Source organism: Homo sapiens, chromosome 2, assembly GCF_000001405.40.
Source record: "Homo sapiens chromosome 2, GRCh38.p14 Primary Assembly".
In the NCBI taxonomy this organism is placed as follows: domain Eukaryota; kingdom Metazoa; phylum Chordata; class Mammalia; order Primates; family Hominidae; genus Homo; species Homo sapiens.
The window spans coordinates 53,498,690-53,518,942 of NC_000002.12; the positions used below are offsets into that span (position 1 = coordinate 53,498,690).

The window sequence follows — 20,253 nt, forward strand, 5'->3', positions numbered from 1 at the left end:
CTTAAAATATATAATTTCTAAAGGACAGCCAGACTATTACCCTCTAAAAAACCATTTTCACAAATCCGGTATGACTAAAATAAGGGGCAGACATGGAATCCACAGAACATGGGCTTCACAAGGGACCCCAACATGTGATCTAACAGTGACAGCAGAAGAGGAGACTGCCCCCATAAACAGGCCAAAACCCTCTGCTACCCAGACCAACTTCCCCATGACTATGCTGGTGTTCACAGTGATAAGGCCACTATACAGGACTTGCAGGACCCTGTATTCTACTGGATTTACAATAACAGTGCTATGTTTCCTGCTACACATCAGTAAGGCTTCAAAACTGAGAGCTGGGAAAAGTGAAATCCATTCTGGGTGTTAAACCCACTGAATTACCTGCTACTTACTATTCCTAACAGCATGTGAGCTGATCTAGTTGTTCAGTTGTGACCCTAGAAAATGTGTTCAATTGTATGAGCCTCAAAGCTATGTGTAGCCAAGTTTGGCCTGTTTGGCTTCGGGGAAAAGAGAGGGAGGCAGGAAGAAATCCGGCCAACATTTATTGAGTGCTTACTTTTGTCTTGATCAATGTGGGATGAGGAAGCGGTGAAAGGTGGGAAATGTAAGGACATGCGGTTCTTCCCTTGAGTCACCCGCTCTCTTAGGATGGGGATTGGCCTCTACACAAACAACGCTGACAGCAGAGGAGAGCAAAGACAGGAGGGAAGGGCAGGCAAGGCCCTGCAAAGCCAGAAAGAAAGGCAGAGACAGGACAGCAGAGGACTGTGATAACAAATGAGCCACTCAATATCAGTAAAGAAATGACCTTATCCTTGATGCTGCTCATTCAAGGCAAATTTTATATTCAGCCACTTTGTTCTAGGCAGACGCTTGCTTGCACATTCTAAGTAACAACAAACCTCCAATGCCTCTTTTGACCCTTAACTTTTAAAATTGCTGCTGTCGACACTGAGGGGCTATCAGTGAGCCATAGTATTCGTATGTCTTGTCTACAACCAGAACCAAATGGTTTCAAAAAAAATGGAGAGATTTCTCACCCCATCCCTGCCAACTGCTGGGTAACCAAACCCCTCCAACTTACTTTCATGTTATCCTCAAGAATAATGATAGATGAGGCTAAGAGAGACGTTGAAGGTAAACAAGACTCCTGTAGTCCTTTTGGTTCATTCCTTCAACAATATTCATATTAGCAGACAGAAAGATGAACAAGACATCCTCAAGGAGCTCCCAGTCTAACAGGGGAAGAGGACACACAAACAGATCATCAAAATAAGAGAGTAACAATGGCCAGCATCGAGTGCTGCCATGTGCTGGCCTACATATATAACTTGTTTTATCACCAGACTTTCATCATTCACATTTTATAAATGAGAAAACTTTGGCATAGATGGGAAACTGCTGGAATTCAAACCAAGGAAGTCTCCAGAGGCACGCTTCTACATGGCCCCCTTGCGCTCCAATCCCACACTCCCCACTTCTGCATGCACCTTCTGCCACCTCCTCCCAGCAAATCTCCCGGAACTGCATATACCTTTTTCCTTTTCTTTGCCCCTGATTGCCATAAACCCACCTAGATGGCTATAAGAGGGAACAGTGAGGTTGTGTTATGTGACTGGGTTTGGTGCTATGGGTACAACACAGCTGCTTGTCTTCTTCACTTTTTTAAAAACTCAGACCTTGGACCGTGGCCAGTGCAAACCATGCCTGACTCAGTAGAGCCAGAAATACAAGAACAAATAGAGTGAAAACCTTTAGATGTAGCTGTAAGCCATTTATCAAGAGTGAGAGGAGGAACATGTCAGTTAATAATATCAAGACCTTGAATTCACTTACGTTTTGCCCCAAAGTATTGTCGTATGCCATACACAAATATACTCACTCTGGTCTTCAAAAATAGGAGAAGGGAGCCTTGGCTTTCACTTCTGAATGAATGGATTCTAAGGCTATTTTAACGTTTACCTGGGTAAACTGACAGTCTAATTAAAACTACTATTTACTTTGGTGTACGACTTTCTACCTTCCCAAAATTCCTAACACACACTTCATTTCACACCCACAAAAATCTCATGAAGCAGATCTTACCACATTTCATAGCTAAGGAAGCTGAAGTTTCGAGATTTTTCAAGACAAAAACAAAAATTACTTAAATATGCTTTTTCTACAAAACATGATTCTATAAAACATAATTTTTCTACAAAACAGTTACCTTGATTTGCAAAACAAACTATTAGAGTTTACAGGCCAACACTGAGAGAAACCATTTTTTTGGAACTGTTTAAAAAAATGAAACAACCACACATCTTCTCAACCTAAGTAGCTTTTAAGACTGCTTAATAGCAATCACTCCAGTGGGCTTCCTAACCTCACATTTTAGCCCCGTTCACAGTGGGCTTCCTGGTGTTGAAAAGAAACACTGCATCTTAATTTCTGCATAATTGTGACCTGACATTTGACTGGTTGTACTATTTCTACTTGCAGCTGTAGACGTTTGGGTTTAAAGTGAAACAAACCACTTGATATACTGAAGAGTTTAAATTCTCCAACTGCTAAAGCTAAGAGCTTATCCACCTAGACCTGTGGCCTACCAATTCTCACAGTTGAAAACACTTGAGGAAAAACCCTCTCTTGAGGGGGAAAAAAAAAAAAAACTTCATGATTCAACTGTAAAGCTGGGTGGTCACTAAATGCACTGAGGGCTTCCATGACAGTTTCACACCTAAATAATGTAGGGTAAAGGAGGAGAGGAAAGACCTATTTAACTCGTAGCTCTTCCTCCCAGCAGAGCCACATCACATGGCAAAAGCTGCATGGACTTTGAAATCTAACATAACTCCCCTGCTTAACAACTTTTCGGCCTCCTCAACTATTAAATATTACAAGAAAAACAATACCCACCAAAGAAGTTGTTGGGGGTAACCATCTCCTAGAGCCGCCCTAACAAGGTACCACAAACTGGGTGACTTAAACAACAGATTTATTGTCTCCCAGTTCTGGAGGCTGAAAGTCTGAGATCCAGGTGTGGACAGGTTGGTTATTCCTGTGGGCTGTTCGAGGAGGCTGTGTTCCAGGTCTTTCTCTTTGGTTTGTAAATGTCCATCTTCATGTTCACATGGTGTTCTTTTTTCTGTGTGTGTGATGGAGTCTCGCTCTGTCGCCCAGGCTGGAGTGCAGTGGTGCAATCTCAGCTCACTGCAACCTACGCCTCCCACGTTCAAGTGATTCTCCTGCCTCAGCCACCAAAGTAGCTGGGACTACAGATGCGTGCCACCATGTCCAGCTAATTTTTATATTTTTGGTAGAGATGGGGTTTCACCATGTTGGCCAGGCTGGTCTTAAACTCCTGACCTCGTGATCCACCCACCTCGGCCTCTCAAAGTGCTGGGATTACAGACGTGAGCCACTGCACCCAGCCCACATGGTGTTGTTTCTGTAAGCTCATGGGTATCTAAATCTCCCCATTTTATAAGGACACCAGTCACATTGGATTAGAGTCCACCCAATGACCTCTTTTTAACTTGACTTACCTCTTAACCTCATGAAGACTATCTCCAAATAAAGTCATATTCCAAGGTACTGGGGTAAGGATGTCAACATATGAATTGGGACTGGGAAAATGGGAAACTGAGAGAAACATACTTCAACCCATGAAATCGGGAGTTTTTTTTTTATTATTATTATACTTTAAGTTTTAGGGTACATGTGCACAACGTGCAGGTTTGTTACATATGTATACATGTGCCATGTTGGTGTGCTGCACCCATTAACTTCTCATTTACATTAGGTATATCTCCTAAAGCTATCCCTCCCCCCTCCCCCGACACCACAACAGGCCCCGGTGTGTGATGTTCCCCTTCCTGTGTCCATGTGTCCTCATTGTTCAATTCCCACCTATAAGTGAGAACATGGGGTGTTTGGTTTTTTGTCCTTGCGATAGTTTGCTGAGAATGATGATTTCCAGCTTCATCCATGTCCCTACAAAGGACATGAACTCATAGAAATTGGGGGATTTTTAAAGCCCCTGACAAAATAGACATTCAAAAATTGGCACCCTTCTTTCCAGCCTGGCGTTGCCATTGCCTGCCATATGACTTTGGGTAAGGTATGTACCTCTCTCAAGCATAAGCTCCATATCTATAAAATGAGGAGGCTGGCATTATGGATTCTAAAGGCCTCTTAACTAATGCTCTCTGCTTCTTCACCCTGTTGATGCCTTTTCTTTTCCAACACCTATGTTTTGCATTTTAGAATTATCAGAACAGCCTTCTGCCAGAACAGGCTGGGTTTTTCTTCTGTCTTCCTTCCATCTTTCTATTTTTTTCTACAAGTATCTCTACCAAATAGCTCTGAAAGAATTTTTAATGATATCATAGCATAGCTATACTTTATGCACATTAAGGGAAAAGATGGACCTCATTAGCTGAGTTGATTCCCTACCTCCCCCACTTCAATTCTTGGGGTAAAAAAAAGCAGTCTTAAGGGTTTTTAGACATGCTTACGAAATCCAAAATATCCAATCCAATCCTGGGAAGCAGGCTAAAATACACTTGACCTTCCCTGGAAGTGGGGTAAGGAAGCATGTAATGTTCCACGGAAAGTAAACCACTAGAAGAAAAACACAATTTTAAGATATCAAGGAGACTTAGGGCTCCTTTGTCATCCTCATTTATTCAAAAGAGGATTTTAGAGTCCAAAGGAATGAAGTTTTTTGCCTGATTGATCAATGAATCCACACAGTCAGAAGTGATACCTAGTAATACAGTGATCTCACTTTAATTTAAAAGGGGAGAGTGTACCCTGTCTCGTGGTTGCTTTTACTGTAACAGAAACAGCATCAGACATGATCTCTAGAACTGTAATTGTGCCAATGTGATTGTGGGATTATAGGTGACATTGGGCACACTGCTACATTTTTTTACATCTCATTTTCCATATAGCCAAAGAGGTTATAATAATACTGACCTCCTCTTGGGACTATTAGAGGAATCAAAAGTATAATAAAATGTGTCAAAGAACTTTCAAAGCATAAAGCCTTTTACAAATATAAAATGCTTTCTTATTAGCTATGCACATATCTACCTTTTGCCAGTTAAATGAGGTCAGGCTGGCTCCCCACAGGCTTGCGCCCCACTTTAAATGGAAATTAAAACATACCCTGCCCATGGGTTCACACTCCAATCACCTACACCGGCTTCTTTTGAACATCATTAAGCAGACAACTTGAAATGTATCATTCTTTCTTTTGAAACCTGCTCATCACCTGACCATCCAGAATAGCACCTCAGGAACAAAAGGTTTAAAACATGAACAAAATCTTCCAAAACCCAAGGTAATTTTAACAGAAGCCAGGGAATACTTGATATATATACCCTCTCCTCTCTCTTGAAACTTAAATGACAAGTGCCCAACTACGCATGCTGAAAAGAAGACTTTGCTTTGAAATATTCCCCAGGGACTAATGTCTTCATACAAAACAAGGCCAGAACATGCCATGATTTGAAAACATTTACAGTTGGCTTTGAGGAGAGCCGGTCTTGTTGTTGAGACAGCACTGGTGTAATAGAAAAAGCAGGGGCCTGGGAGCTAATTATCTTAGTGCTAGGCCTTGGCTTTGCCATTTTCTCAGACCACTTACTTATTTTGAGCCCCCTGAAGTCATGTAATGTAGCTCTGCCGCAATATCATTGCAAGGATTAAGCTGCATACACTCAAACTCAGCAAAGGATTAAATTGCATACACCTAAACTCAGTGGACTTCAGACGTTCACTGATTTAGATTTAGAGTGGACCTGAGCAGTCTCGAGTTTTTAAAAGAACCCCAGACAATTCTTATGCAGCCAGAAAAAAAACAAACAAACAAACAAAAAAAAAACATTGCCAAGGAAGCTGGCTACGCCTCATCAGCCTCAGATGGTGAGGAATGGGAGGGAGGCAGGGAACAGAGACCAAGTCCCAGCAGCCTACCAGCGTCCCAGCTCACTGTCTCCTCAGGCTCTCTCAAGCCCCTCAATTCTAGAGAGGGCCACCTTTACAGGTACAGCTTTCTCTTCACTCTGGATAACCACTCAGAACCGTGCATATCCTGGCTCTTGTCCACTTAGAATAGACCAGCAGATGTTAAAGCTCAAGCTGCATCAAACACTTCCTTTAGCACAATAGTATTCTCCCTGCCAAGCTTTCTTATCCTCCCTCACAACCCCCAGGTTCCCAAGATATACATGAAAAAGAACCCCCATCTCCAGGCCTGACTTTGGACTATTTACCTGCATGCAAACACTTTCCCAACTCTAAGTCTTCCCACCCAGTTCTCTCTACCAGCAAGCCCTTACCATCCGTCAAAACCCTACCTGTCCTTGAAGGTCCAGATTAAATGAAGCCTTCTAAGCTTTTTCCCCCCAGTGGAAAAAGTGTTACCTCCTTTTTTCCACTTGACCTTAAGATCGAGGACTACCTTTTTTAATCTTTGTGCCTTTGGGGCAACTAGCACAGTGATATGCACATGAGAGTTGCTTAATAAAGATTTGCTCAGTTTGCAAATTATGAGACATATTAAAACAAGAAAAGTCTCATTGCAATGGGAGGCAGCTATAGAGGAAGAGAGAAAAAAGCTAAATAAGAAAAAAAGAAGGTGCCACCCCCATTCTCCCAGTTATAGTCAGCAATTACCTCAATTATCTCTAGATTATGCACAATGAGGATTCACTCATTTCAAAAATTAAAATTTCATCTCCAAATCATGTTGACCAAATTAAGACATATGAGGCATAAAAATAGCCTGTTTACAAAGTTCGTTTTTTTGTTTTGTGTACAAAGCTCATTGTCCTACTCCATGCAACCTGATATTAAGCAGGACTTTAACCATCAGATGATGTTTATGAGTGAACATATCTAAGTCAATACTGTAAGTGTGCACAATTTTAATCCATATGTTTACCTAATTCTCATGCTCACACGGATGGTTAAATACTAAGTACATCAGGACCCCAGGAAACAGCCCATGGTTGTGCTGGACCCCTACTAACTTCAATAGGGATGGCACCAGTTTCAAAAGGACAAATAGGAGACCAAGAGCCAGCAAACAAGGCATGGGGTTTATTGAGGGAAACTTACATATGGGAATGGCCCAGAGGTGGTAGGCTGGACAGGAGAACTGCCATTCTGCAGAAAACATGCAGATTATATAGCATTTTTACTTAACACCCTCCCCTAACAACCTCCACCTGGCAATTTTCATTTACCCAAAAACAAAAGGCCTCAATCCCCTGTACAGCCCACATTCCACAGGACTGTCCAAAGGCTTAGGCGTTCCTCATCAGTAAAGAATGACCCTCTGGGTTAGCCACTCCTGGATTCCTCAGCTCAAAACTCTAAACACACATTCCAGTGTGTCTGCCATAAAGGGTCATTCTCAGCGTAGGCTTAAGTTATATACTGAATTGGCGTAGGCCATGACCTTAAGTTAAATTATTGCTGTCAGGTGCATCTGCCATACAACCACCTCAAACTGAATTGCCAAGGGAAAAAGGTCAAGCCATTCATTAATTCAGCAAATCTGCATTTAGCACCTACCATGTACCAGCATAATCATGAATCACTGCAGGAGTGGGGCCGCCATCTAAGAGAAGCATCCTGATCGTGACCAAGGTGTTCAAGGTCATGGCCTACATCAATTCAGTACATACAACCATGAAGTCGTTAGGTAAGTATTCACCAACATTTTTCAGATATATGAGGCTTATTTTCTGTTACAAACATATGATGGAAGCAAGTCTCTCGATAAATTTGGCCACACGCATACTAACATTTATCATCAAGTAATCACAAAATCTTCCACACACTCTGCTCTATCTGCTCACTGACATCCCGTGGGTTCATCATTTTAGGTAATCCAATGTGGCTTGAAAGATTCACCTGTTATGAATGAAACACTTATCTGCAGGGGTTGACAAACTTCTATCCATGAACCAAAGACCAGCCCTGCCTGTACATATTGTCCATGGCTGCTTTCATGGGACAAGGCAGAATTGAGTAATTGGAAAAGAGACCATTTGACTGGCACAGCATAAAATATTAACTATCCTATCCCTTATTGAAAAAGACTGCAATCTTGTACATTCTAGTAAAAGAAGGGACCGGGAATGGACATTTGGTTGGCCAACCAGCAATGCTTGCTACACAGATCACCTAATCATCCCACCTTGTCTCAATCGCATTTATTGTTATTGTTAAAAACTGCAACCATAAACATCATAAGGCAATGGAAATAATTCCTGATCATTACACAGCATAGTTTTACTTTTAAAAAGGTTTTTTTTTCCACATTTACAAAAATCTGCTTTCTTTCCTTACTGCAATCTTTTGAGGCAGAGGTTCTCTGATAGATGAGGAAACTGAGTGCAGGAGTGGCTGAGTGACTTGCCTAAAGTTGTGAAGTTGGTTAGTAGCAGAGCTGGAATGACCTGATTCTAATAACTGCTCCTGTGTGGCCGGGGCATGAGTAAGTCACGACAAAGCTCTCAGCCCAGACCTCTTTCTATTGGCTTTTTGTCCAAATGCTAAAATGGTTACTCTTCCAAGTCCTGGGGCCTTGGCATCTTGACAGATGAGTTAGAATGTGTGATCTGGGTCCAGCATGTCCTTCAGGCTTCCCACACTGTCTCTGGTCACAGGTGATGAGGCATCAGATAATGAGATCTCCCTAGAGGGCTCGCTAGATTGTTATACCTTATTTGTAAAAGGGTACAGAGTATCTTTAAAGAATTTTAACTGATTCATACTTCTTTAATAACACTAATTTCACCAAAAAGAGCCCTTTACATACGTCAATTAGGCTAATAAACAAGTCACTAATTTCACCTGTTATACCTCATTCCTAACATCTATTATTCTAATCAGCAAATCCTCTAGGGTTGATCAAAAATAAGTATAGCAGAAGTCCCCAGTAGCCCCATCTGGAGTATGGCTTTTTCTGATTAATTGTTAGCCGGACACTCCTGGAGCATGAACTTCTGATTAGGGCCACTGGTTTCCCCCAAACATACAGCTTAAACTCACACACATTCTTACTGTTATCCAATCTACACTAAAGTATGTAAAGTGAATTACAGACACTGTAACACACTGACATCAACATTTACAGTAAAACATGTTATAATATTCTCAAGTCACCAGGACTTGGTTCTAGCCACATTTGTAATTCCTCTATGTGCAGGCATTTTACTGAATCACAGCTTCAAATACCTTCTGATAGCTTCTATCAGTTCTCTAAAATTCAGTCCCACTTACTGAAAATGTAATGTAACTAATGCACAGCATCCCTAATTATAAAGCAGGGCTGACCATGGAAAAGGCATCGGACTCTTTTGCTACTGTAGTTTTAAACAAATTTACACTTCAGGCCAGGCATGGTGGCTCATGCCTGGAATCCCAACACTTTGGGAGGCCGAGGCAGGCAGATCACTTGAGGCCAGGAGTTCAAGACCAGCCTGGCCAACATGGTGAAACCCTGTCTCTACTAAAAATACAAAAATTAGCCAGGCGTGGTAGCATGTGCCTGTAGTCCCAGCTACTTGGGAGGCTGAGACATAAGAAGCTCGAACCCAGGAGGTGGAGGTTGCAGTGAGCCAAGATTGCACCACTGCACTCCAGCTTGGGTGACAGAATGAGACTGTCTCAAAAATAAATACACTTCAATCCCCCATGGATGATAAAGGAATTTGCCTCATGTATTAAGTCCTGAACCACAAACAGGAATATGCCTCCTTATTACATTTCGACCAGGGCGTATTTAGAGCTAGTGTCAGTAAGTACTTTTCTTTGCAAATAGGCCAGTAGGTTTTCCGAAGGGCAGAAAAAAAAATTTCTGCATTAATAAAAACAAAATAAAGAAGTTAATTCTTAAATATCACTGTTAAGAAACATGGAATTAAAACAAGAAGGTTAATATTCTAAGTCTCACTTTCTTATCTCGGGATTCTATTAATTTCACTTTTCCCATTTACCATGAACTAAATATGTGGCTTTTTAAAAAATTCCAGAAACAATATTCCCAGTCCTTTCTAATTAGAAGCCTCCAAAGTAAAATGAGAACAGTGGGAAAGTCTCTTCCTCATTTCAGCAAGCCACTGCTCACTGAGACTCCCCTGTGGTGAGACTGGGTCATTAGAAAGGAAAGAGGTTTAACTGACTCAGTTCCACACGCTTAACAGGAAGCTCCAGGAAGGCCTCAGGAAACTTACAATCATGGCAGAAAGGGAAGCAGGCACCTTCTTCACAAGGAGGCAGGAAAGAGAATAAATGTGAGTACAGGAAAAACTGCCACTTTTAAACCCATCAGATCTAGTGAGACTCACTATCACGAGAATAGCATGGGGGAAACCACCCCCATAATCCAATCACTTTCCTCCCTCGACTCGGGGGGATTACAACTCGAGATGACATTTAGGTGAGGACACAGAGCCAAACCACATCACCAAAGATCCTAAAATGGGCTGCTCTAAAGAATATCCCCATACCCAAGAAGCCACGCTCCCACCCTACTCCCAACAAAGGTAGCAAATGTTTGGTTCATTCATTAGGATTAATTTCTTGTAATACAGCCCCCCCCTTTTTTTTTTTTTTTTTATTTGAGATGGAGTCTTGCTCTGTAGCCCTGGCTGGAGTGCAGTGGCGTGATCTCGGCTCACTGCAAGCTCCGCCTCCCGGGTTCACGCCATTCTCCTGCCTCAGCCTCCCAAGTAGCTGGGAATACAGGCGCCCGCCACCACGCCTGGCTAATATTTTTGTATTTTTTGTTTAGTAGAGACGGGGTTTCACTGTGTTAGCCAGCGTGGTCTCGATCTCCCGACGTCGTGATACGCCCGCCTCGGCCTCCCAAAGTGCTGGGATTACAGGCGTGAGCCAGCGCGCTCGGCCTCTTGTAATACAGCGCTTCTCATTGAAAATACAAGGGAGATAATTTTTTACCTAGAATTTTCCATGTTTCCCATCGGCCAGTAAGGAAGACATGCTGCAGTAGTCAAAGCATTGTTTTAAAATATGTTGATACTCACATATAAATAGACGAGAAATAACAAAGCCAAGTGTCAATTTCCCAGCTCTAAATTTGCACTTAATACTGCACAAAATTCCACTCTGTTCCTTTTGCTGACACTGAAAATGAAATCCACAGACAGAACACAAACAGACGGAGTCCTAGGCATTATTTCTGCAGCCACATCTCAGCGGACTTCCAATTGAGAGATGCTTTTAAAATGCCCTTGAAGGAGAGACCCCCCACCAAGAGATCAGAGGTTTTTGTTTGTTTTCCTCCGGCTACGCCACTGCCTCAGGCATGCACCTAATGGTCTCTTAAGTGATCATTAGGAGCCTTGTTAAAATTCCTCTAGCACTTTTAGCAATTAGTCATTAATTGGAGTTGCCACTTCAGACCCTTCTTAATTGCTACTCCTGAGAGAGGAGCTCTGTGGGGACAAGTGGGCGAAGCAGGTGACTTCCTGCAGTGGGTCATTCAGTAGAAAACATGGCGTCCTGTTTTCCTGCCGCTGCATCTCCAGTACTCTTACCTTAGTCCAGGTCATCCTACCCCGGCCACACAAGCCATGCCTGCACAATAAGAAACTTGCTTTAACAAATACTCTGGAGCCTGTCCTTGGGTTCGTTGTTGTTATTGTTGTTATATTATAATAACAAGAGCATTTAAAGTACTATACAGTTTACAAAGAACTTCATACATACGATCTTATATAATTTCAACACCATTTTACAGATGAGTAAACTGAGACTCAAGATGGTGAAGAGACTGGCCCAAACCCACACAACTTGTAAGTTGCCAGCATGCACCCAGCCAGCTCCACAGCCCCAGGCTGGCCAGCTTCAAAGCCAGTGCTCTGTTCACCTCGTTGCACTGCTTCCCAGCAAAAAGGCCCCCTGCTGAGTACAGTCAGCTGTCTCCAGATTTTGAGCATCTTTAGAGACACGGTCCAGATACACTGATCTGCCACTTCTCTAGAGATCGATAGCCTGCAGTTATGGGACTGCACCAATGTTCTTCATAGGTAGAACAAAGAGCTCATTTTTGTTTAGTGAAAAATCTTGATGGACTCTCACAAATGAAGGATGGATGCCCAGGGAGCATGCTCTGGCTGAGCTGAAAGGAACTAAGGAAAGGAGAAGAGAAGAAAGGTAGGATTCAATATCCAAACACATAATACAAAACGAGCCCCAGAGAGAAGAGCTGAGAGAAAGATAGTTCAGCCTCCGTGCAGCAGAGGATAAATAAACGCTATTGGGGTGAGAATAGCTTAGAGATTTAAAGAACAGATATTAATCAGTTTTAAGTTGTTTGCTTTTCTGTGATGGGATACTATCCCCAGCACCAGACTATGGTAAGGTAAGAGAGGTGCCTAGGGGCCAGGCACGGTGGCTCATGCCTGTAATCCCAGCGCTTTGGGAGGCCGAGGCAGGTGGATCACTTGAGGTCAGGAGTTGGAGACCAGCCTGGCCAACATGGCGAAACCCTGTCCCCACAAAAAAAATACAAAAATTATCCAGGCATGGTGGTAGGCGCCTATAATCTCAACTACTTGGGAGGCTGAGGCAGGAGAATTGCTTGAACCCGGGAGGTGGAGGTTGCAGTGAGCCAAGATCACACCACTGCATGCCAGCATGGGCAACAAGAGCGAAACTATGTCTCAAAAAAAAAAAAAAAGAGTAGTACCTAGGCTGCAAAATTTTAGGAGGTGCTCACTCTTAAGGTTGTACGGTACTTGCCTCACCCTGGTCCTAGCTGGGTCATCCCCCGCCGGGCCTCAAAGCTTAGGTAAAGTCTGAAATACACACAGCCCTGTGGAGGCAATATTTTGAGAGCGAGAAAGAATTAGAGCAGTAACCAGCACCAAGTGATAAGATTTATAATAGGATTATATACTGTTTGGTATATACTTAATTTGGTAATATGAATCATAAACTGAAATAATTAAACAAAGAGAGAAAAGCCAGAACAAAAAATCACTGGGAAAATATATGCCCCTTCCCCAGGAATTCCCAGAGATGTGAAGCGGGACACTAGGTGTCCCACTACTTGTAGTCTGGGGATTACAGACAAATGTAACAGGTTGAGCCTGGTCACCTGGAGAATCTCAGCAATTGGGCCACAGTTCCATCTGTGGCTTCGTTACACCTATGATGTCGTTGTTTGCTCACAAATGAATACCTCTTTTCTATTTAGCAAGTTTCCTAGATGCCTTATTACATGTATGGAGCAGTAAAGTTGTTTTTGTCTCTCAGTCTACAGCATCTATCCACTTGCAAGGAGGGGTGGTTTGGGAAGAATTCTAATAATGGGGAAAGGACCTCTGCAGGGGGCTTGTCCTTCTCCAGCACCTTACTGTCCCTACTCACCTATGACCAGAGGCAGTATGGGAAGCCTGAAGGACATGCTGCACCCAGATCACACATTCTAACTCATCTGTCAAGATGCCAAGGCCCCAGGACTTGGAAGAGTAACCATTTTAGCATTTGGACAAAAAGCCTTGTGGTCCAATAGAAAGAGGTCTGGGCTGAGAGCTTTGTCATGACTTACTCATGCCCCGGCCACACAGGAGCAGTTATTAGAATCAGGTCATTCCAGCTCTGCTACTAACCAACTTCACAACTTTAGGCAAGTCACTCAGCCACTCCTGCACGCAGTTTCCTCGTCTATCAGAGAACCTCTGCCTCAAAAGATTGCAGTAAGGAAAGAAAGCAGATTTTTGTAAATGTGAAAAAATGTGGAAAAAAAAACCTTTAAAAAGTAAAACAATCTGTGATAATGATCAGGGATTATTTCCATTGCCTTATGATGTTTATGGTTGCAGTTTTTAACAATAACAGTAAATGTTATGACTGAGGCAATGAGACATGATTAGGTAATCTGCATAGCAAGCACTGCTGGTTGGCCAACCAAACGTCCATTGCCAGACTCTTTCTTCTTCCTTGTCTGGCTTCATTACAGAGAATGGAAAAGCTACAGTCTCACTTTCCTAAACACACAGACAGCTAGGGGTAACCACATGACATAGTTCTGACCAATAAGTAAGAAAGAGTCTTCTGCAGCATTTCTGATCAGGTTTATTCTTTGCTAATGAAAAAGAAATCAATGTAAATGGCATCCTCTCTTTTTCCTGCACCGAAGGACATGATGCTTAGAGCATGGAAGTCATCTAATAACTTGAAAGGCCAAGAAAGTTAGTTCTCATTGAACTGCTGAATCAACATCTTCAGTTCCCTATCTATCTCCAGACTGGTTCTCATATAAGAAAACAAACCCCTATGTTCAACTTTTGTTAGTTACCTGCAGCTAAAAGCATTCCTGACTGATATAACAACATCTTGACTGATATAACAATATCCTATCTATTTTGTCTTATAGAAATTTCTCTCCTAGTGATCTTTATGAAGAGTTTAACTCAAAGAGAAAGGAGGAAATTTTTTCCTCCAAAGGCCCAAAGCAATAAAGAAATGATCAAGAAAAATGGGTGAATTTCCTCTGCAAAGTAAGTTCGAATATCACTATGATATCAGGCCACTGGATCTCCCCATGTTCATACATTTGTCTTGCCAAGAGACCTAGCCTATAACGAAGCCTTCGCTACCTACCCTACAGGGTTCTAAGGATCAAAAGACATAATGGTTGTTAAAGCTCTGTATAGACTATAAAATGCCTCGTAAAGGCTGAGTTCCTGAGGAGCCTATGCTTGGTGCTGTTTTTGGTGCTGTTCAAGATCTGTTTCTATTTATACCTCTGTGCTGCTGAATCTCATTGCTGTTTTCATCCCCTGTGTCTCCAAAGAGCTCTTGGTCTTTATTTCTAGCTACTTCCTAAACATCTTCACCTGGATCTTTAACAGCACTTAAAACTCAGCATGTCCAAAACTGAATTAATTTCTGTTCTCCACAAAGTCATTCCTCTGCCTGTGTTCCTGGTTCCCAGTAATAGACGTCACCATACACCTACTTTCCACAGGTAGAAAACTGAGTCATCTTCAACTCCTTTTTTTCCCTTCTAAGTTCCAACTCAAAAATAATTTTGCCTCTTTTGCCTTTCATCACATGATCATCACATCCCATCAGCTTTTTTTTTTCTCTCTGTCTCTTTTTGTGAGAGAGTTTTGTTCTGTCACCCAGGCTGGAGTGTAGAGGAGCAATCACAGCTCACTACAGCCTTGACTTCCCGAGTTCAAGCCATGCTCCCACCTCTGCCTCCAGAGTATCTGGGACCACAGAAGCATACCACCACACCTGGCTAATTTTTGTATTTTTTGTAGAGATGGCGGTCTCATTATGTTGCCCAAGCTAGTCTCAAAGTACTAGGCTCAAGCAATCAGCCCGCCTCGGCTTCCCAAAATGCTGGGATTACAGGCACAGGCCACTGTGCCCGGCCCTCATCAAGTTTTTAAAATCTAAATAATAGATAATAATGTTTTCTGACAGTTCTCTCTGCCACCACTTTTGCTGACTCCATTCTAGATGGGATCCTCCCAAAAGAAAACTTGGATGGCATCCTTGTGTCAGTTAGAAGCTCCGTGGATTCCACGTAGCTACTGACGGGAGTCAGACACCTTAGAGTGGCCCAAAAGCTTCTTCTGAGTCCAACTGCACCTTATCTCCTCAGGCTCATTCTTGGCCCCTCTCCTTCCTAATCTCAACCTTCTCTCCCTGGATCCTTATATCTAATGGGCACTTGATGATTTTTCCTTTTTCCCATTTCTTGCCTTTATTCCTTCTTTTTTGTTCTCTTATCATTATCCCAGTCCAGCCTTTAGTCTATTACATCTGGACTATTCCAAGAGCCTCCTAACAGGGGCTTCCCATCTTTCTTTAGTCCACACTATACTGTCCAACCGAATTAAATTACTTGAAAAATCCCAGCCAAATTCAGTGACTCACGCCTGTAATCGCAGCACTTTGGGAGGCCAAGGTGGGCAGATCACTGGAGCCCGGGACTTTGAGACTAGCCTGGGCAACATGGTGAAACCCCATCTCTACAAAAAATTAGCTGGGTGTGGTGGCATGCACCTGTAGTCCTTGCTACTCGGGAGGCTGAGGCAGGAGGATCACTAGAGCCTAGGAGGTCGAGGCTGCAGTGGAGCTGTGATCGCACCACTGCACTCCAGCCTGGGCAACAGGGCAAGACTCTGTCTTAAAAAGAAAAAAAGGCAAACAGCATTTATCTTGATTAAAAAAAACTTTAAAAAGCGAAAAAAAAGATTCTTCCTACAGAGGTCTCTATTAGCAACGAATACAGTTCCCGCTTCTCATCCCAGCTTTCATGACCCTCATAATCATGCTGCTTCTTCATATTTGAGCTTCATCTTTCAGTGACTTCCATGGGCACCCTTCATTCCTAACAACCAAGTACGCTGCACTCCGTGAACACCACTAGGCCTTTCCATTCCATGTCTTTCTCTATTCCCCACACTTAGAACGCTGCCTCGCCCTATCTGCCCAGACTATGGTCTTCACTTTCCTGCCACCTGTATCCACAGGCAGCTTTCCATTGGGCCTCAAGCCAGAAATGAGCCCTTTCTTGTTCCTGTAAAGTCTCATAGCTCTTAATTTACCTTGTACTTTCGGGATTTATCATCACTTGCCTTACCCTGTGGTCATCTAGATTCAAAAGTCATGTTTTCTTACATGTTTATCTTTGCATGTAACACAGTGCCTCCGGTATTATGGATGTAAAATTCTTAGATAAATTGTTAGAGAAATACTTGCTGGGTGAAATACACTTATATACTTATACTTTGAATGTAATATATTTAAAATATACTTATATTTTGAGATCACTTTCACATCTATTACCACAGCACAACAATTACCGGAAGAGGCAGAACAGATATTATTGTCTCTGTAAAACTGGGGCCAGAAAGGTCAAGGAACTTTCCTTACATCACCCTGGAAGCTCAGGCAGATGAACAAACTCACTTCCTGCTTCTGGTGCTTCACTGGGGCTTTTTCTGCTCAACTCAACTCTCATGGGTCTGAGTCTATCCTGGGCCTTTTCTGGTCCCAAAGCAACTTGCATCACCCTCATTTTCCACTTCGCCTTGCAGCCCCCACTCCTGTTGGTTTGAAAACACAGCTTCCTGCCTATCTCTCCCCACCCTCTGTGAAATCTGTCTCAGGCACACAGGGAGAAGCAAGGAGCTAATGTTCAGGCAATGTGCTGCCCTCCTGTGATGAAAGGTGCAATCTCCATCACTCCCTGAGACACAGCATCCCTGCGTCTGTTTTGAAGCAGACCTGTGCCTTTGCAGCTGCTTCCCGTGAACAGCAAAGCCGTTATCCCGGCCCACTGTTCTCTTCATCTGACACTCTCTTAAATATGTCATTTTTCTCATTTTCATTAATAATGCTTTTTTAACACCTGATCAGCCTCACTGTCTGCTCTAGGTTAAGGCCTATTATTCCATTAGAGTTTGACATTTGAAATGCAATGAGGCATTCATGCACAGGTAGAGCTAATGGGGAAAATGGCTTGAGTCAGGGCTTTATGTACCAGGCAGTTTGGAAAATGAGAGTGGTCAACAAGAAACAGAAGCCTGCTTTTGTGCCAGCCACAGAGTTCTGGGTCCAAGACACACTGGGTCCCCTGTGATAGGTTCAGGACACAGATGTGACCTTTTCTGCCACTGGAGGATATCAGGCAGGCACGTCTCCCAGATTGTGCATCTAGAAGAACCTGGAGCAGGTGAAAGAAAATTAGGCAATAGACCTAATGACAAGTCGGTGGGCGTAGAGAAAATTAATTGAACTTTTCTGCCTTTCTCGACTCCTATTCTCCGATGTTCAGGGCAGCCAGTTATTACGGGGACCTCAGAAGATATTTACCGGCCTCTGGTGCTGCCACGTGCTTGCCTTTGTCAAATGAGTGAGTTGAATGTAACACTCAAGATTAGAGGGGCCAAAGAAGTTGAGAAATTCAGCCAGTGTGTGTCCCAGTTTCCCTTCCTAAACCTATCAAGTGAAAATAACCGCTTACATTTTGCTTACTTATTTATTCATCATTTACTCAACAAACACTTATTGAAGGCTTTCCGTGTAGACGCCGGGTATATCCCTGCCCTCACAGAATTTACAACACTTTTACTATTTCCCCACTTTTACTTTCATTCTGACTATAACTCTTCCATGTAAGAAGGGGAAATGCCATCTTCAGTTTTGAGACGCAGAGTGAATGAAATCTCAGTGGGCATGAAAACGTATGCTTGCAAGAAATACACCTTTCTCTAATTTGTTGTAGTAAACTTAACTCCAAATCTCCATCTCACCAGGCCGGAGGGAATTTCAGTCAGACATCCTGGCAATGGGTCTCCTCCTAAAGATGCACCAGAATTGAGAAGCCTTATGTGGTACCAGGAATGGCAGCAGGGACTATTAGTCCATTGTGACTACTGACGCTATCCTCATCTATCAAGCCCATTGTGATCCCTTGAGATATGGTGGCCTTCTGTGTCCATGCCACACATGGGGCCCAAGAATCTTTGCTTAGGGTGGGACCCCTGGCGCCTAGATTCTCACCTTCACAGGCTGACTACATGGCCATCCCCTCTGAGCTACTGCAGCCTTCTAGGGTGCTGCTCTGAAGCCAGGTGTGGATTCATGATTAAAGTGAGGCACCATAATTGCTGGAAGCCTCCCTCTCCCCTCTCCCTCCCTTTTCAAGAAAAAAAAAAAAAAAGCAAGTATAATCTTGTTTTTCAGTTTAGTTGTTCCAAACGAAGAAGGAGAAATTGGCTCCCAGAAGCTTCTATTTTTCACATACTTAAAAACCTCGGAATCTCTGATTCCAAGGCGTGCTAAGGCCCTAGCAACCTGCTTTCAAGGGAGAAGAAAAAATAGAGAACAAACATTAATTGGCAGTCGAATTAATTATCCTGCCACAGTGATGAAAAATCCAAAATGCCGGAAGAGGTAACATTCATCACCCTGAGCTTCTCCTCCAATCCTGGCCCCGGCACACACCCCAAATCCAATGGCAAGTGGGGGCTGCCTGCTGCTTGTGGCTGCCTCCCATCCGTCAGTAGATCCAGAGTCATGCAATAACATGGAACTGTGGGAAAGCTTCTGTAACTTACATAGATTAGCCACATGAGGAGAGAAGCACATCATCTAGCCATTGTCCCCCAACACCACCCCTGCCAGCAAAATAACTTCACTCCTACTCCTATCAGACCGGAGCTCACCATGACCTGAACCCTACCCACATCTCAGCTCTTCCCTTGCCTTATTTTCCTGCATCTCATCTCTCACGGGAAAAAGCATCCATTCTTTTTCCTTCCAATCTCCAGCCCCACCCACTTCTGATGAGTCTCAGTCCTCCCTAGGGCAACTATATGAGATGCTCAGTGTGAGAGGCCATGGAATCCTCCTGAGCACCCCTACTGCAGGCACTTGTAACCCCGGCTCCCTGTATGCAAAATGCTTCAAAAGGGAATGAGCATGACAGGAGGCAAGGAGAAAATACGGGCAAAGCCCATGCCAAATTTCCAGGCTGGAGGAAAGCTGTGAGAGCCTACGGTAGTTGAAAACCCATTTTAAAAGGTTGAATTGGTTGATTGACTAATGGATCGATTCAGTGACTTTATTCAAAAATTGTATAAGCTTGGCCATGTGCTTACCACTGTGGGGTCACCTCTGAAGGAGACAAAAAGCATAACACAAGTTTTTAGTCTTCAAAGGGGTTCCACTTAATATGGGAGAAAGGCTATACACACATATAGCTAAATGCCAAAAATAATAAAGACAACAGCTAATATAAATTGAACACTTATAAAATGCTGAGTGGTGAGGCCGGGTACGGTGGCTCATGCCTGTAATCCTAGCACTTTGGGAGTCCGAGGCGGGGGTGGATCACCTGAGGTCAGCAGTTCAAGACCAGCCTGGCCAACATAGTGAAACCCCATCTCTACTAAAAATACAAAAACTTAGCCAGGCGTGGTGGTGGTCACCTGTAGTCCCAGCTATTTGGGAGGCTGAGGCAGGAGAATCGCCTGAACCCGGGAGGCAGAGGTTGCAGTGAGCCAAGATCATGCCACTGCACTCCAGCCTGGGTGACAAGAGCAAGACTCCATCTCAAAAATAAAAAATAAAATGCTGAGTGCTGCACTAAATATTGCTATGCAAAAGTAATATTTCATTTATTCATCAAACATCCTTATATGGTAGGTATCAACATGCACCCCATTTGCATATGGGAAAACT

The 20,253-nt window shown here is 43.1% G+C and overlaps 2 annotated features.

Annotated features, from left to right (window-relative positions):
• Positions 10,966 to 11,479: an enhancer, noted in NCBI's record as "OCT4-NANOG-H3K4me1 hESC enhancer chr2:53736793-53737306 (GRCh37/hg19 assembly coordinates)". NCBI's record gives its function as "activates a minimal SCP1, AML or CMV promoter by ChIP-STARR-seq in naive H9 embryonic stem cells {active_cell/tissue: H9 hESC(naive)}" and the evidence as "EXISTENCE:reporter gene assay evidence [ECO:0000049][PMID:30033119]".
• Positions 11,480 to 11,992: an enhancer, noted in NCBI's record as "OCT4-NANOG hESC enhancer chr2:53737307-53737819 (GRCh37/hg19 assembly coordinates)". NCBI's record gives its function as "activates a minimal SCP1, AML or CMV promoter by ChIP-STARR-seq in naive H9 embryonic stem cells {active_cell/tissue: H9 hESC(naive)}" and the evidence as "EXISTENCE:reporter gene assay evidence [ECO:0000049][PMID:30033119]".